At 45.8% G+C, this 17,000-nt stretch overlaps 1 protein-coding gene across 2 annotated transcripts in view, besides 1 other annotated feature; it reads right to left on the reverse strand.

Annotated features, from left to right (window-relative positions):
• Nucleotides 3,058-17,000, reverse strand: part of CRYM (crystallin mu) — a 44,542-nt gene continuing 30,599 nt past the window's right edge. For both annotated transcript variants that reach the window (NM_001888.5, NM_001376256.1), the window contains 5 exons: nucleotides 14,327-14,428; nucleotides 12,091-12,274; nucleotides 6,574-6,695; nucleotides 5,791-5,875; nucleotides 3,058-3,382 (listed from right to left, as the gene is read on the reverse strand). In NM_001888.5, coding sequence (NP_001879.1) covers nucleotides 3,318-3,382; nucleotides 5,791-5,875; nucleotides 6,574-6,695; nucleotides 12,091-12,274; nucleotides 14,327-14,428 — 558 coding nt within the window. In that variant the 3' untranslated portion in view covers nucleotides 3,058-3,317. The remainder of the gene's footprint in view (nucleotides 3,383-5,790; nucleotides 5,876-6,573; nucleotides 6,696-12,090; nucleotides 12,275-14,326; nucleotides 14,429-17,000) is intronic.
• Nucleotides 8,559-8,618: an enhancer, noted in NCBI's record as "active region_10552". NCBI's record gives its function as "activates an Ori minimal core promoter by ATAC-STARR-seq in GM12878 lymphoblastoid cells {active_cell/tissue: GM12878}" and the evidence as "EXISTENCE:reporter gene assay evidence [ECO:0000049][PMID:35858748]".

The following is a 17,000-nucleotide window of genomic DNA, read 5'->3' on the forward strand; positions in this document are numbered from 1 at the left end:
CTGGGTTGAGTAGCTTCCTATCTGTGCAAGCTCTCTTTGTTTGCCTCTCCAGAACTTCTCTCTACTATTTTCCAACCTACTTTGTGTCCCAGGTGGTTGGGCTCTGGACTGCATCAAAGGGCTCCCTTGCCCTTGGGATCCTGGTTGGGTCTGGCCAATGGGAGTTACTAACAAGATACCAGAAGGTGGGAGAAAGAAAGATTGAGGCATTTATTCTACCTGTTTCTTCTTTTCAGGGCAGCAGCTGCCTTCATCTAAGCTCACCTCTCCCATCTGGCAGCCCTCTGCTATAGCTCTAGTTGTTTCTGGGTTTCACTAACTGCTCTTTCAAGCTTAGCAGTGGTAGTGATTTCCTACTATTGCTAACCCTGGGGTGCTTCTTCCTAAACAGTCTCTTTATTCTCTTCAATCACACCTTTTGAGTGTGGCATCTACAGACAGTTCCCCACTTACAATCGTTCAACTTAAGATTTTTTGACTTTACGATGGTGTGAAAATGATACGCATTCAGTAGAAACTGGTAAGATATTCTCTCAGGATGCTGGGCAGAGGCAGCGAGCCACAGCTTCCAATCAGCCATGTGATCACCAGGATAATCAATTGACAGTGAACAGTGTACCGTGTTACCAGATGATTTTGCCCAAATGTAGGCAAATGTAAGTGTTCTGAGCACATTTAAGGTAGGCAAGGCTAAGCTATCATGTTTGGTAGGTGTTTTCTATGCATTTTTGACACATTTCCAACTTTTTTTGAGACAGGGTCTTGCTCTGTCAACCAGGCTGGAGTGCACTGGCACAATCTCGGCTCACTGCAGCCTCTGCCTCCTGGGTTCAAGTGATTCTCCTGCCTCAGCCTCCTGAGTAGCTGGGACTACAGGTGTGCACCACCACACCCAGCTAAGTTTTGTATTTTTAGTATAGACGGGGTTTCACCATATTGCCCAGGCTGGTCTCGGACTCCTGACCTCAGGTGATCCGCCTGCCTTGGCCTCCCAAAGTGCTGGGATTACAGGCATGACCCACCATGTTCGGCCACATATTTCCAACTTTTGATGAATTTATTGGGACACGACTGCATCATAAGTCAAGGAACATCTGCATTTCCTGCAGGGACCCTGAACCATGTTCCTGTAACACCAAATTATTGTAATTTTTTTTTTTTAACATCTGTCTTCTCTTCGAGGCTGTGTTCTCTGGGGCTGAGGACTACTTTTCTGTTGTATCTTAGTAAGCTAGCACAGGGTTATGATAGGGGCTCTTGCGAAAAGAATGAAAGAAAAGATATATGAATATTCTCATCATTCCATGCTCTTCTCTATATATCCTTTAGGGTAGTGACCATCAGGATTCCTCAGAAAGACTCCATAGTCACTTGAGATATGCAGAATCAGATCATGTGGGTAATGTGGGTATTTTGTTTCAGCACAAAGACCCCTGTCCAGACAGTCTGGCAAATATGATAAACTTTTGGCTAAACCATCTGGAGCATGAGTCCTTCCCAGGAGGAGTATGGTCAGGAAAACAGAGCCATGCTTTGCTGCTGACTTATCTGAAAACCAGCCTTGGAGTAGCAAAAAGCGAAGGGGTGGGGTGAGGCTAGGGTCGGAGTGGGATTTGGACAGGGCCTTTGGCAGGACAAGGACAACACGGTTCTGCTAGTGATTCAGGGGGCCTGGAGAAAGTATCTCTGCACCTCAGTTTCCCCATCCGTAAGTTGAAGATCGACTAGCTGATCCTTAATGGCCCTTTTAACATGGATACTGTAGTGGACATCTTTAGATTTTGCCTTTCAACTACCCAGTCCTCTTTTTGTTAAGAGACACCTTCCCTCCATCAGCTCATGTGGGCAGATGCGCAGATGACACTTCTGACTTCAAGGGTGGGCATGTGATCCAGGCCTGGATAACCAGAGCATCTGATCCCCCTGGACAACGTGATGGTTCAGGGATAGGTACAAGGCTTGAGCCTGGCCAGGGTATTCCATCTCTTTAAAAGATGGGGTCTTGCTATGTTGCCCAGGCTGGTCTCGAACTCCTGGGCTCAAGCAATCCTCCTGCTTCAGCCTCCCAAAATGCTGGGATTACAGGCATGAACCACCTCACCCCGTCTATTCCATGTCTTTCAGCCACAATGTTAGGCTCAGGAATAGACATGTGACCTAGATGGTCCAGTAACTCTCAGTTCTGGAACATCTAACTGTAAAGGAAGAGAATATTTATGCTCAGTTGCTAAAGAGGACAGAATACAATTCAGGAGCTGCTGACCAATGTCCTGCCACTACCAGGGAGAACTTGATAATGGAGCCAACGGGGAAGAAGACCAGGCCCTGGTGACAGTTGGAGCCCCTGAATACAGCTGTAGCTGAAACCAGTTACCTGTGTGTTCCTAATTACGAGAGCCAATAAATCTCATTCTCCATTCATTCAGCTTAAGGTAGTTTGAGTTGTAGTCTCTACCACTTATGACCAAAGGAGCCCTGATCTATACAGAAATTCCATTTTTCCTCTAAGCATTAAGGAGTCAGGCACAAAAGACTACATATAGTAGAATTTCACTTGTAAGAAATGACCAGGCTTGGCCGGGAGCCGTGGCTCACGCCTGTAATCCCAGCACTTTGGGAGGCCGAGGCGGGCAGATCACCTGAGGTCAGGAGTTCAAGACCAGTCTGGCCAACATGGTGAAACCCCGTCTCTACTAAAAATACAAAAATTAGCTGAGTGTGGTGGCGTGGCACCTGTAATCTCAGCTACTCGTGAGGCTAAGGCAGGAGAATCACTTGAACCCAGGAGGCAGAGGTTGCAGTGAGCCGAGATCATGCCATCGCACTCCAGCCTGGGCAACAAGAGTGAAACTCCATCCAAAAAAAAAAAAAAAAAAACACTACTGAATTGTATAGTTTAAACTAGTGGATCTTAGAGTATGTGAGTTGTAACTACTAAATAAATACATAAAAAAGAAGTTTCATTATAGCCAGTGTAGCTCCCCCAGGGAGTAAATGGGAGCATCTGATCCCTCTCAGTTTCCTTGTGATAGTAATAGAAGTTACCGAAGCAAACACTGCACAATTGGAATGTGCTTTATTTCAGGGAAATATAAAGGGAAATGAATGCTATTATAACTTGGTAGAACAGAAGAAATGGCTACCTAGCTTTGCTTTCCAACTACAAACATAAATGAGGATCTCAGCATTTAAGGTAAAACATGATAAGCACAAAAGGAGAGTTCACTGGGGACTGGACTCCCTCATTTACTCTAGAAATTATGAGAACCAGCAGCAATATTCCTCAAGCATCCATCTCAACATCAAGTTCCTTTGTTTTATTTACCAGATGACCAGGAATCATAGATGAGTTTGGCTGCAACTGTGTCTTCCACTGCCATTCCTAGAATAGACAGAAATTTGGTTCGCCTTTGGTCAAAACAACTTTTCTTGAAACAACCCAGGCCCCATGGCTGGAAGTTTCCTGATACATGTCCATGTTGCCAATGCCTATTGGAATAACAGGGACTGATACCCAGAGATGAGCTCAGGCTTCAATTGTCTGCAAAGGGGCAGAGAATATGATAGTAAGAAACACCCACCAACAAATTGTGCATCTTTCTAAATCTAGCTCAGGGCTGAGCAAATTTTTTTTTTTAATTTTTTTTTTTTTCGAGATGGAGTCTCGCTCTGTTGCCCAGGCTGAAGTGCAGTGGCGCGATTTTGGCTCACTGCAAACTCTGCCTCCCAGGATCAAGTGATTCTCCTGCCTCAGCCTCCTGAGTAGCTGGGATTACAGGTGCATGCCACCATGCCTGGCTAATTTTTTTTTTTTTTGTATTTTTAGTAGAGACAGGGTTTCACCATGTTGACCAGGCTAGTTTCAAACTCCTGACCTCAGGCGATCCGCCCACCTCGGCCTCCCAAAGTGCTGGGCTTACAGGCATGAGCCACCACGCCTGGCCTGAACAAACTTTTCAAAAAGGGTCAGACAGTAAATCCTTTAGGCTTTGTGGGCCACAGGGTCTCTATTACAATTATTCAACTCTGCCTTTAGAGTAGAAAACACAGCCAACAGGTAAACAAAAGAGCCTGGCTGTGGGCTGTGTTCCAGTGAAATTATTGATGGGACTGAAGCTTGAATTTTGTATCATTTTCAGACATCATGAAATATTTTCTCCCCCCATTCATTTGAAAATCTAAAAACCATTTCTAGCTCATAGGCCACACAAAAGCAGGCAGCAGAGCAGGTCTGGCCCCAGGACTGTAGTTTTCTGACGCTTGGTCCAGTTTGAATGCTGCATCCTTTGATATCTCCCCTTTGTCTTGTAATTTTGGTAGATACCTTAACCTCTGCACCCAGCACAGATAATTAGGTGCTTGATACGCATCTGTTAGATGAAACAATGCACCAATAAACTGATCCCCAAAAGTAAGAAAGCAAAAATTGCCAAAAAGGACAGAACAAGTTTCTGCAGCATTTTGGCTCCTTAAGTAAGGGCTGGCTGACCTCTGATCTGCCATGACCTTTGAAGTTTTCAGACAAAACTGGATCCATGTGATGTCTTTGAACCAGGCTCCAGATAAAATTGTATTGCCTTTGTCTTCCAGTGCATGAGAGATTTTAAAGACATTTACCAACCTGCAAGGCATGGATACTTAACCAATGGCATGGGCTCTGGGTGGCCAGAGCGCTCCTGATGCTCTGCCAGGCATTTACTCTTTTGCTGCTTGATCACGAAGTATGGAAGGTCATGAGAGGGGGACAGAGGGCACTCTCGAGGGGCTCAGGATAGCAACTGTTTACCAACCAGTTTGGGAGTATTTCAGTGTTTTAGGTGTATCAGCTCTGTTCCCATGTACTTTATTTATTTATTTTTTGAGATGGAGTCTTGCTCTGTTGCCCAGGCTGGAGTGCACGATGTCAGCTCACTACAACCTCCACCTTCCGGGTTCAAGTGATTCTCCTGCCTCAACCTCCCAAGTAGCTGGGATTGCAGATGTGCACCACCACGCCTGGCTAATTTTTGTATTTTTAGTAGAGATGGAGTTTCACCATGTTGGCCAGGCTGGTCTCAAACTCCTTAGCTCAAGTGATCTGCCCACCTTGGCCTCCCAAAGTGTTGGGATTACAGGCGTGAGCCACCGAGCTCAGCCTGTTCCCATGTACTTCTGTTTCCTTCAATCTCATAGGGTGGAAGAGGACCTGGGGCAAGGGACAGACTGGCCACTGGGAGCCCACCCTTTGTTGGGCTTCTATAAGGTACCCCATACAACTCAGGTGGTAGGGGGCTCCCCATGGAAGCCCTCCTCAAAGCAGCAAGTGGGAGAGTAGGGAAGGAGGGAATGAACAGGGCTTAGGCTATACTTTCCATCTGACTCTTTCAGGTTGGGTCTCTGCCATTTCCCTTAAGGTTCCTGTCTTTTAACATCTTTGTCCCCTGCCCCCTCCACCTCTGAAGGGTACCTTCTGAATTTCATCAAGATCTGCACCGAACTGATTCATTTTATATGCAAATCCCACCTAATCCTCAATGGTAACAGGTGGTGAGGAAACTGAGGCCTACAGAGGTCAGATCACTTGCCTAAGGACACCTGCCTTTGAGTGGCGGGGAAGGGACTCTGACCCAGGACTGCTCAGTTCCAGAGTTCATGGGCTTAGCACTAGGCTAAACCATGTAAATAATTGACCTGAATGATGGAGCACAATGATTCAGCTGCAGAGTCTGGTGACTCATTGCTCTTTCCACCAATGGGTGAACCTGCCTTGTGCGCTAGTTGGATTTGTGCCCAGGGAGCAATGGATCTTACCCAAAGACTTGAACACGGTGGTCTTCTCACAGTGGGCTGGTTTCACTCCCTTAATCACTTCTCCCAGCTCAGCAAAGATCTCGGCCTAGGAAACAAACATACGCTGACCCAGGCATGAAGCTAAAGTCTGTGCAGGGTTGGCTTTTGAAGCCAGCCCAGGGAATTCCTGAATTGGATAAGAGATAAATTTGATTAAAAAAAAAAAAAAAAAGAGAGAGATCCTTTGTACACTGAATGATATTAGGGAGGAGGCTGGCCCCGAAATCCTTTTGGGGTGGCATTTGCTTTTGTGATACCATAAACACAGAGATTCGAGTTGGTGCTCAGGGAGCTGTCCTGCCAAGATCATTGTGTCAGTGAGGAAATAGACATGCTGTTATCTGAACATGCATGCCAGCAGCTCCCTTCTTGTTTTATGCTGATTATAACCGTAAAATGAGGCCAGAAGGTGGGCAACACAGTCTTATCATGTTGGCCACATTGGGAAGGTTTCCAGGCTGCAAGAAGCTTCCAATCCCACTTCTTTAGAGGACAGCCCAGCAAAAAAATAAAATCCACTGAGCTTCTCCTTCCAGGAACACACATGTCACCACCCATAATGCCCATATTTTTCTGGAATGGAATTAAAGAGGGTTGCAAAATGTTTAGGAGCTCCTTCCCCTACAAGGAGGTGGGGTGGCTGAGGTCTGGAGCAGACCAAACTGGAAGGGAAGTTAATGAAACCCTGGGATCCAGGTGAGGCCAGCCAGGTGGCAGCCCTGACTGGGGTCAGAAGGGCCTCACCCCTGACAGCAGGACATCTCCAGACTCCTTCAGGGCAGCCTCCTGGGAATCCACGTACAGCACAGCTTCTTTCATGAGCTCATCATCCAGTTCTCTCCAGTCAGGTCTGCTGGCTCCAACAGCTAAGAGACAGCAAAACAGACCTTAAGCCCAGGATTAGTGCCAAAGGCTGCTAAGAAGCCCAAAGCACAGGAGAGAGGTGAACAAAGGACTCGTGAACACACTCAGATTCAAAATACCCCCTCATTCCCCAGGCCATGCTCTCCCAATCAGTAGGACGAAATACTTATTAAGAAATAGGCCAGGTGTGGTGGCTCACACCTGTAATCCCAGCACTTTGGGAGGCTGAGGCAGGCAGATCACTTGAAGCCAGGAGTTTGAGACTAGCCTGGCCAACATGGTGAAACCCTGTGTCTACTAAAAATACAAAAAATTATCCAGGCGTGGTGGCTCACACCTGTAGTCTTTGCTACTCTGGAGGCTGAGGCATGAGAATTGCTTAAACCTGGGAGGCGGAGGTTGCAGTGAGCCAAGATCATGCCACTGCACTCCAGCCTGGGCAACAGAGTGAGGCTCCATCTCAAAAAAACAAACAAACAAACAAAAAAAACTACCTACCATTTTGCCTTTCTATTCTATATCCCACCTCATTGCTAAAAGATTTTGAGACGACATAGCATTCATTTACAGGGTGTCTACTCTCTGTGGGATGTTTTGCACGTACTATTTATGGTTCTCGCAAGTACATTTCAAAGTCTGGTTCTCACTTAACAGATGCACGAATGGAGGCTCAAAGAAGTGAAGGTGTTTGCCAAGGTTAAGGATCTGATGGGTGAATCCAGGTCTGAGAGAGCACCTAGGCGCTCACACCTCTTCTGCTTAACAGGAACACCTTCCTCACAAAAATCCCGAAACAGAGACATCACTTGGTGCTTATTCACACCTCACTCTCCTCTTGATCTCCATCATTCCCATTCCTCACCCTCAACCAGTTCTTTTAATATCTATTTTTTTCTTTTTGGAGAGAGGGTCTCACTCTGTTGCCCAGGCTGGAGTGTAGTGGTGCAATCAGAACTCACCACAGGCTGGGTGCAGTGGCTCATGCCTGTAATCCTAACACTCTGGAAGGCTGAGGTGGGTGGTTCACTTGAGGTCAGGAGTTCAAGACCAGCCTGGCCAACATGGTGAAACCCTGTCTCTACTGAAATACAAAAATTATCTGGGCATGGTAGCACACGCCTGTAATCCCAGCTACCTGGGAGGCTGAGGCAGGAGAATCTCTTGAACCTGGGAGTTGGAGGTTGCAGCGAGCCAAGACTGCGCCACTGTGCTCCAAACCAGGCGACAGAGTGAGACTCCATCTCAAAAAACAAACAAACAAAAACTCACCACAGCCTCAAACTCCTGAGCTCAAGTGATCCTCCCGCCTCAGCCTCCCAAACTGTTGGGACCACAGACGCCTGCCACTATGCCCCTTTCCCTCTCCTCACCCCCGGTTCTCTCTTAACTCATGACAAAAGAAAAAAAACAACAACAACAAAAACTCAGTGTCAGGGTCATGGAGAAGTCTCGTCAGAAAGAAAACTGGCTCCGTCCTGGCCCTGAACTGTCACATCCTCTATGGAGTCCAGGACCAGAATGATGAATCCAAGGTGTCACGCCCCCTGGCACCAGGACACAGGAGAATGCAGAGGCTGCCACCAAATGCCTGCAAGGCCAGGGAGGTAATGAAAATGAACAAAGCTGGTCAGAGGGACTGGATTAGATGTGGTGGAGACTGAGGGGCGGGGAAGCCAGCAGGCCCTTCCGAAGGGGACAGTCATTGTTCAGCTCCAGCTAATCATTACCACGTGTGAATGTAGATCCACTGTTACCAGATATGCCCCAGTTGTTTTCTTAGAAGAGAAACAGGAAATCTATTTGCATATGTCACTCCTTGAGTTTTAGATTACTCTATGGTCCAAACCAAACACATCTGCTGGCTGGATCCAGCCCCTGGCTGGCTAGTCTTTGAAAACTGCTATAAAGCCTTATACAAATATAAGACAGCATTTATATGCCTTCTTCCACTGCCGCCCCGTTTTCTCCCTTTGTTCCCTCCCGTTCTGTTCTCCCTCATTCTAATTTCCAAAGAGAGTTGTGTAAAAATGTCCATCTTGAAGGTTGTTTGTGCGGAGAGTTCTATAGAACAAAAGCACTAGCTTAAGGAAGCTTGTAAATAAATCATAAGCTGGTGGGAACAAAACCCCCGTTTCTCAGGCCACTCCTTCTCACTGGACTATTTCCCCTGCACAACCACTGCTTATGAGCCGGGCGAGTTCTCAAAGGGTTGTGTGAGGTCACTCAGGCGGATGGAGGTGGGCCAGGCAGTAAAGAGAGAGAAGCCTGACTCAAACAAGGCTCTGGCTTGGTTGTGATGGGGCTAAATGAGTGAGGGTCGCAGACAGGCTTGACAGGGTGTGGGGGCAGGAGGAGGGAGGCATGGGGCAGGGTGGAACTGGGCCTGTCCCTCCGCTGAGCTGTAAACTAAGTAAAATCTGTTGTTGGTATTTCCCTGTTGTCTGCGCTTGTGACACATTTTTCTTAAATGTATGTGTTGCCTCTGTGAACACATAAACCAATTTTGTCCCTGGGCCAGGAAAACAGAAGAGATGCCTTGACTCAAAATCAAGTCAGCCCTTCCTGGAGAATGATTCCAAGTGAGAGAGGGATCCAACATAAGGGAGATTGTCTGTGGCTGGATGTGAGGATGGAGAGTCCATATGGTGGGAAATTTGGGTCATCTCTGGGAGCTGAGAATGGCCCCAAGGAAAGGGGCTCCCCCCATCCTCCAGTGTAAGGAACTGAATCCTGCCACACCATGGGAGCCTGGAAGAGGACCCCCGAGCATGAGATGAGATTGCAGCCCGGATGTTGCCCAATTTCTTTTTTGTGAGACTTTGCACAGAGGATCCAGCTACCCACACCCAGTCTCCTGAACCACGGGAACTGTGAGATGATAATAATGTGTTGTTTTAAGCTGAAAAAAAAATCAAGTCCATCTTTCTGAAGATGCAGCCTTGGAAACCCATTTCACCATGAACTGGTTCCTTTTGATTTCCCAGGTCCTTCCAGAAATGGTCTTATTGTCCATAAACTCAGCCCTGACTTACCTCTTACCCATTCCCTGGACCCAGTCTGACCACCAGTCCCATGCAGCCTGAGACTTTCAAATTACTTTGATCCATTCCTCAAACACGCCATGTTCGCTTCCACACTCAAGGCCTTTGCATCTGCTGTGCCCTCTACCCTGAATGCCTTTCCTTCAGCTCTTGGCATGGCTGCTCTTCCTCCTCATTCAGGTCACAGCTCAAAAAACACATCTTAGAGAGCTTCTCAGATAACCCTATTGAAAACACCTCTCTCTGCTTCTACCTTCCACCTCCACCACCAGCCTCTATCACCCAGGGCCTTGTTCTTTCCGGTCTCATCTTTAGCCAGAACGATCTAGTTCCTCTATGTGTTTGTTTGTTGTCTATCTCTCCTCACTGAAATTAACCACCATGAAACCAGTGACCTTGACTGCCTGGTTATTGTGGCATCCCTGGCATCTAGAATAGTGCCTGGCACACGGTAGAGATTCAGTCAGCATGTATGATTGAATGCGTCATCATTTGACTTGGCTCTCGCCGGCTCATCTGCCCACGTGTGCAAAGCTCTTAGCTTCTGAGTTCACACCATGTGCTTGTCACTAAAACACAGGGCACCAAGACCATCTTTAAATCCTCTAAAATTTGCCTGCTCTGCTCACCAGAATCCAGTCTTCCTGTTGGAAGGCAATCATGAGTATCATTTAAAGCTTGGACTCTGAGGATAGAGTGCCTCCGTTCAAATCCCAGCTCTGCCATCAAGAACCTCTGATTTTGGGCTTGGCACAGTGGCTCACGCCTGTAATCCCAGCACTTTGGGAGGCTGAGGCGGGTGGATCATTTGAGGTCAGGAGTTCGAGACCAGCCTGGACAATGTGGTGAAACCCCATCTCTACTAAAAATACAAAAAAATTAGCTGGCATGGTGGCGTGTGTCTGTAATCTCAGCTACTCGGCAGGCTGAGGCAGGAGAGTCACTTAACATGGGAGGTGGAGGTTGCAGTGAGCTGAGATCATGCCACTGCACTCCAGCCTGGGTGACAGAGTGAGACTCCATCTCAAACAAACAAACAAACAAACAAACAAAAACTTGTGACTTTGGAAAAGTTATATAATTTCTCCATGCCTTGGTTCATCCCCCTATAAAATGTTTATGATAATAGTTCCTGCCTCATAAGTTGGTTATAAGTATTAAATGACATTATACATAGAATAATGTCATTTAATATACAAAGAATTATACAAAGAATTCATGACAGCACCTGCAGTAGTATTAGATGTAGACCAGCTCTTGCTATAACACCCAGGGCCATCTGAAGGTCTACAGAGGCCCCAGGCACCCTCATGTCTAGAGCCCCCTCTCCTGCCCCTCATCCTATCACACATATTAAAAAGCATATACATGTCACATAAAAAATTACAGTACAAAAGAAATTTAAAGGTTTATAATTCTTAGTGTTAAGAAAAAGTGACTCATTTGGCCTTTCTGATTTAAATTTCATCACATTTTAGAATTGAGCTGTGAATTACCATTTGCCATAATTTTACATGTTATGGTCAGGCGTAGTGGCTCATACTTGTAATCAGTCGCAGCACTTTGGGAGGCTGAAGTGGGTAGAGTGCTTGAGGCCAGGAGTTCGAGACCAGCCTGGCCAACATGGTGAAACCTTGTCTCTACCAAAAATTACAAAAAATTAGCTGGGCATGGTGGCACATGCCTGTAGTCCCAGCTACTCGGGAGGCTGAAGTGGGAGAATCGCTTGAACCCAGGAGGCAGAGGTTGCAGTGAGCTGAGATCTCGCCACTGCACTCCAGCCTGAGCGACAGAGTGAGACCCTGTCCCAAAAAAAGAAAAAAAACTTACATTTTATAGAACATTAAATATTCTTTAGTTTCAGGTTTGTAATTTCCCTTTTACATTTCTTGGAGCAAATATTGTTTGTTTGTTTTTTAAGACAGAGTCTCTCTCTGTTGCCCAGGCTAAAGTGCAGTGGCACAATCTTGGCTCACTGCAACCTCTGCCTCCTGGGTTCAAGCCATTCTCATGCCTCAGCCTCATGAGTAGCTGGGACTACAGGTGCAAGCCACCATGCCTGGCTAACTTTTGTATTTTTAGTAGAGACGGGGTTTTGCCATGTTGACCAGGTTAGTCTTAAACTCCTGGCCTCAAGCAATCCACCTGCCTCAGTCTCCCAAAGTGCTGGGATTACAGGCATGAGCCACTGCACCCAGCCAAATATTGTTTTTTTCAATCTCACATGTTTTCAAGGCCCTTAAATAGCTTGGGCATTCTGCATGAATAAACTGGCTCTGCAAATGTAGTCGACTGGTCCCGTCTAGAGAGGAGCCTGGCCACCACCCATCATGCCTTATGGAGCCACTCTACTTACCATTGATGTGAGCCCCTGGCTTCACCCATTCACCAAACAAAATGGGCTCTGTTGCCAGGGTGACTGTGATGATCACATCTGCACCTGCCACAGCCTCCTGGACCGAAGAACAGACCCGTACCTCTCCTTGCACTGTGTCTGCAAACTTCTCTGCATTTTCTTTGGTGCGGTTCCATATCCTCACCTTCATTGGGAGTAACAAGAAGGATATTGGCGCCATTTTTTGGCTGCTTATGTTACACTGAGCCCAGGGATGCGGAGGGAAAGTTGAACTACTCTGGCATAGGGGTCAGTGGTTATCTAAATCACTCCTAAATCATTCCCCATGGAGAATGGACATTTGATCAGGGGTACAGCATTAACTTAGACACCTAGCCAGGTATTTGAAAATCAGCGTTCTCTACCACTTTCCCCTTTTAAAATGAGTGGAAGTATTTCACTTCTAGGCCAAGAGGCACAGCCTCAGTAACTTCATAGCTATTATATATTAATAGCATAATGATTAGCAGAGCAAGTTCTGGAGCCAGGTAGGCTTGGAACCAATCTCCACTCTGCTATTTCCTGAAATTGCTTCATGTCATTCAGCCTTAGTTTCCACATCTGTAAAATGGAAATATAACTGGCAAAGTCTGTGTGGAACTCACACTTTATGTCTGAGACCCCGTAAAGGAGTTGTAATGGGTGGGAGATTCATATGAAGGATTATTTATGATAATGTTTTTCATGGAATAACTTGATCGGTGAAGAATACTTAGGAAATTCAAGATCAGACGAGTTTGAAGGTAAATGGCATAGCCAATGAAAAGGCCAAGAATGGTAGCTACGGCTGGAATCCTGAAAGGTGCTGGGGTTGGAGGGTGGGGCAGCGGCCTCACCAGGAGCTGGGGACTTGCCGACTTGCTTGACAGGTTTCAATGTTTGGGTCAAGGGCTTGTCACCCGTCAACTGAAAATAAGGCCTACAGAATTTCTCATAAGGAAATATAATACATACGGAAACAAACTTTATGTCTAAGCAAGTTCACCAAGCAAGGTGAAAAACAGGACATTTTGCCCGGCCGGAAGTGCATGGTTAACCTCTTCACCCTTCTTGATAGAAGACTATGCAAATTTTATGCAAAAATTAGATAACCTGAAAAGTGATGTTAGAACATTCAGTAAGAGAGGATATAAAATGGTGCATATCTAACGTGACTAAAGCTATGTTATAAAAAGCTGAAGAGGGAAGATCAGAAAACATTAACTGTCTTTGAAAACAGATGAAAGGGCATTTTTCTTTTGTTTTCTTCCTTGTATTAAAAGTAATGGCAACTGGGCGCAGTGGTTCACGCCTGTAATCCCAGAACTTTGGGAGGACAAGGCAGGTGGATCACCTGAGGTCAGAAGTTCCAGACTAGCCTGGCCAACATGGTGAAACCCCATCTCTACTAAAAATACAAAAATTAGCCAGGTGTGGTAGTGGGCGCCTATAATCCAAGCTACTTGGGAGGCTGAGGCCCAAGAATCACTTGAACCCAGGAGATGGAGGTTGCAGTGAGCCGAGATTATGCCACTGCACTCCAGCCTGGGCGACAGCGCGAGACTCCATTTCAAAAAAAAAAAAAAAAAAAAAAGTCATGGCCAAAACTGCAATTACTTTTGCACTCACCTAATAGTCTATATTTCTCAAGGCAGTGGTTTTATTTTCATCATTAAATCATACTTTAAAACTGCTCCATCCCTTTCATACACACACATAAAATAACAATAGCATCAAAAATTCCCAGGGGGAAGCATGAGACGCAGTGGGGGGAAGGTGGACCAGTATGGAGACTGCAAAAGAGAGAGGCTGTGGCCTCCTGGTCTCCAGGTCTCATCCCACCCAGTTTCTTGATCCATAACCTTGAATACTTAAAAACTCTGGATTCTCCTAAGAAAAACATAATAGACAGGAGCTAAAAGGACAACTGAATGTATACAAGAGATATAATAGAATCTTTTAACCGAGTAAGCTTGCTGTATCCTCAGACAAATGCCCTCTGAACTGAGGACTGGAAACAGGTAATCAGATCTTCCCCTGACTCTTATCCTCCATCCCCTCCATCAGGGCTTCTGGGAAGTCATGAAGATACAAGAATGGTCTAGATGGGGCTCACAACTTAATTATTTCAGAATAACCTGTGGTGCAGTGAAGCAGTATAGACAGGTCAAGGACCACCCCCTTCCCTCTTCTCTCCCACCCCCACCCCTGGACTTACCTCCTTAAAGGAGAACTGCTCTGTGAAGATCTCATAATGGCTGTAGGCCTGGACCCCAGCCCCAAGGATGCACAGCACTTCACTGCTGGGAGGTTTCAGAAACTATATGAGAGAAATGAAGTGGCAAAGGTCAAGGGAGACCCTAGCAGACGGGTAAAAAACTAAGATGGTTTGAGTATCAGGTGACTTCTGCCCTCTCTTCTGCCTCCCTCAAGAGCTTGCAGGCAATCAAGAGAATTTCCTTTTGTGTCTAGTTTCCCCCGTATCAAGTGGGAAAAGAAGGAAGAAGGCTTCACTGAACAGCTAATGTATGCCAATGCTTTGCCCCCATGATCTCATTTAGTCTAGACATTGACCCTACGAGTTGGGGACTCCTACTATCTTCTTCTTACAGATGAAGAGACTGAGGTTGCCCTGGTAACAGAAAGGTGAACTTGCTCTGGGTCTTACAACTACTTTTTAAAATTATTTATTTATTTCTTTTTCTTTCTTTCTTTCTTTTCTTTTTTTTTGAGATGGAGTCTCGCTCTGTCGCCTAGGCTGGAGTGCAGTGGCACGATCTTGGCTCATTGCAACCTCTGCCTCCTGGGTTCCAGTGATTATCCTACCTCAGCCCCCCGTGGAGCTGGGATTATAGGTGTGCGCCACAACACCCAGCTAATTTTTGTATTTTCGATAGAGATGGGGTTTCACCATGTTGGCCAGGCTGGTCTCAAACTCCTGACCTCAGGTGATCTGTGCACCTCGGCCTCCCAAAGTACTGGGATTACAGACGTGAGCCACCGCACCTAGCCAGGTCTTACAACTATTGAAGGGCACAGTGTGGCTCTAAAGTCACGTCTTCCATACTCCAAAGCCCATGTCCTTTCTTCATATCTCAGGTACATGCTCAGCCATACCCACTTCTCAGAGCTCTGAGCTGCTTCTAAGAGCTGCCTGGATTCTGTGAGCCCTTCCTTCCCAGGGTTCTAGCTATATTCACTGGGCCAACTCTGTTGATCTTTTCACTGCCTCTGTCTTCCTCTAAAGACGAATGTAGAATTAGCATTTGTGGCATCTCCTGAGGGTGTCTGTGTTTGAGAGCAGGATTCTGTGATCAACTCACGTCCAGTGCCACCTCTCCAATGAAGCCTTTCTGACCTCCTTGATAGAATGCACCAGGCCATAGCACTTATTTGTTTGTAGATTTTCTTCTACAGGTCTTTAAGCCCCATGAGGACAGAGGTAGTCTTATTTGCACAGAACTGGTACATACCTACTATGACCTACAAGAGGTAGCACTGGGCTTCTCAACCTCGGTACTACTAACATTTGGGCTGGACAATTCTTTATTGGGGAGGGGCACCAACCTGTGTATTATAGGATGTGCAACAGTATCTCTGGTTTCTATCCATTAGATGTTAGTAGCATTTTCCACCCCTTCAAGTTGTGGGAACTAAAAACGTCTGCACACTCCTAAATGTCTCTGGAGCAGGTGGCAAACTCATGCTCAGTGGAGAACCACTGGCATAGAGGAAAGACATCACTTGGCCCTCGACACCATATGTATTAAATAAAACCCTCTTCTGCCTTTTCTCTATTCCATTTAGTAAACTTTGAGTTCCCTGTGGTCTGTTCTTTTATAAAATGCTACTCACTGGAATTTTGGAGTATAATATTTAAAAAGTGAAAAGTCTTCTTAACTACTAATTACTAGCAAAACAGCATCTCTGAAATATTAGGAATTAATTTTATCTCCTGCAGCTACCGAAGGAGAGATACCATTCTGTGCCATAAAATATAGTTTAACGTCTCTGATTTGAAAAGGTTTCAAAATGATAATATCCACAAGACTAGAAATCTTATGTTGCTGTCTGATAAGGATAATTAGATTTTTTTCCTTAATTGTTACCATTTTCTTCTGTTCTCAGTTAATATGAATCTATTCTTGAAAGTACAGGTGAGCTTCAGAAATTGTTACAGTATCCCATAAAAATAACCTTCAACTTCCTAAACTAAATGTGTAATTCTAATTGGTTGTCTTACTTGATAATTTGTTGCCCTGGTAATAGTGTGATAATTGATATTTTTAAAATTTTTTTTTTTTTCCGAGACAGTCTCGCTTTGTCGCCCAGGCTGGAATGCAGCGGTGTGATCTCAGCTCACTGCAACCTCTGCTTCCTGGGTTCAAGCGATTCTCATGCCTCAGCCTCCCGAGTAGCTGGGATTACAGGTATGTGCCACCATACTTGGCTAATTTTTTTTTTTTTTTTTGGTAAAGATGGGGTTTCGCCATGTTGGCCAGGCTGGTCTCGAACTCCTGACCTCAAGTGATCCACCTGCCTCGGCCTCCAAAAGTGCTGGGATTACAGGTGTAAGCCACTGCACCCAGCCGATTTTTAATCATATGTTTATAAGATTTATTAAACAGCATTAGTGGCACTTCAATCTTTTCTCCTAAGCATGCAGGTTATTAAGTACACGTATATGAATCTGCTGGGTTTCTCATTTAAAGAGTCTGAAAGTCTGTTTCATTTGCATTTGCCAAGGCCTTGCATGGTCTGGCCCTCCTATCTCTAAAGCTGTCTCTCATACCACCATGCCATGTTCCCCTGCACTTCCTGTCTTCCAGCCATACTGGCTTCCTTGCAGCTTCCCAAGCTCATGTACTTCCTTCAACCACAGGGCCTTTGCA

This window comes from Homo sapiens, chromosome 16, assembly GCF_000001405.40.
Source record: "Homo sapiens chromosome 16, GRCh38.p14 Primary Assembly".
Classification (NCBI taxonomy): domain Eukaryota; kingdom Metazoa; phylum Chordata; class Mammalia; order Primates; family Hominidae; genus Homo; species Homo sapiens.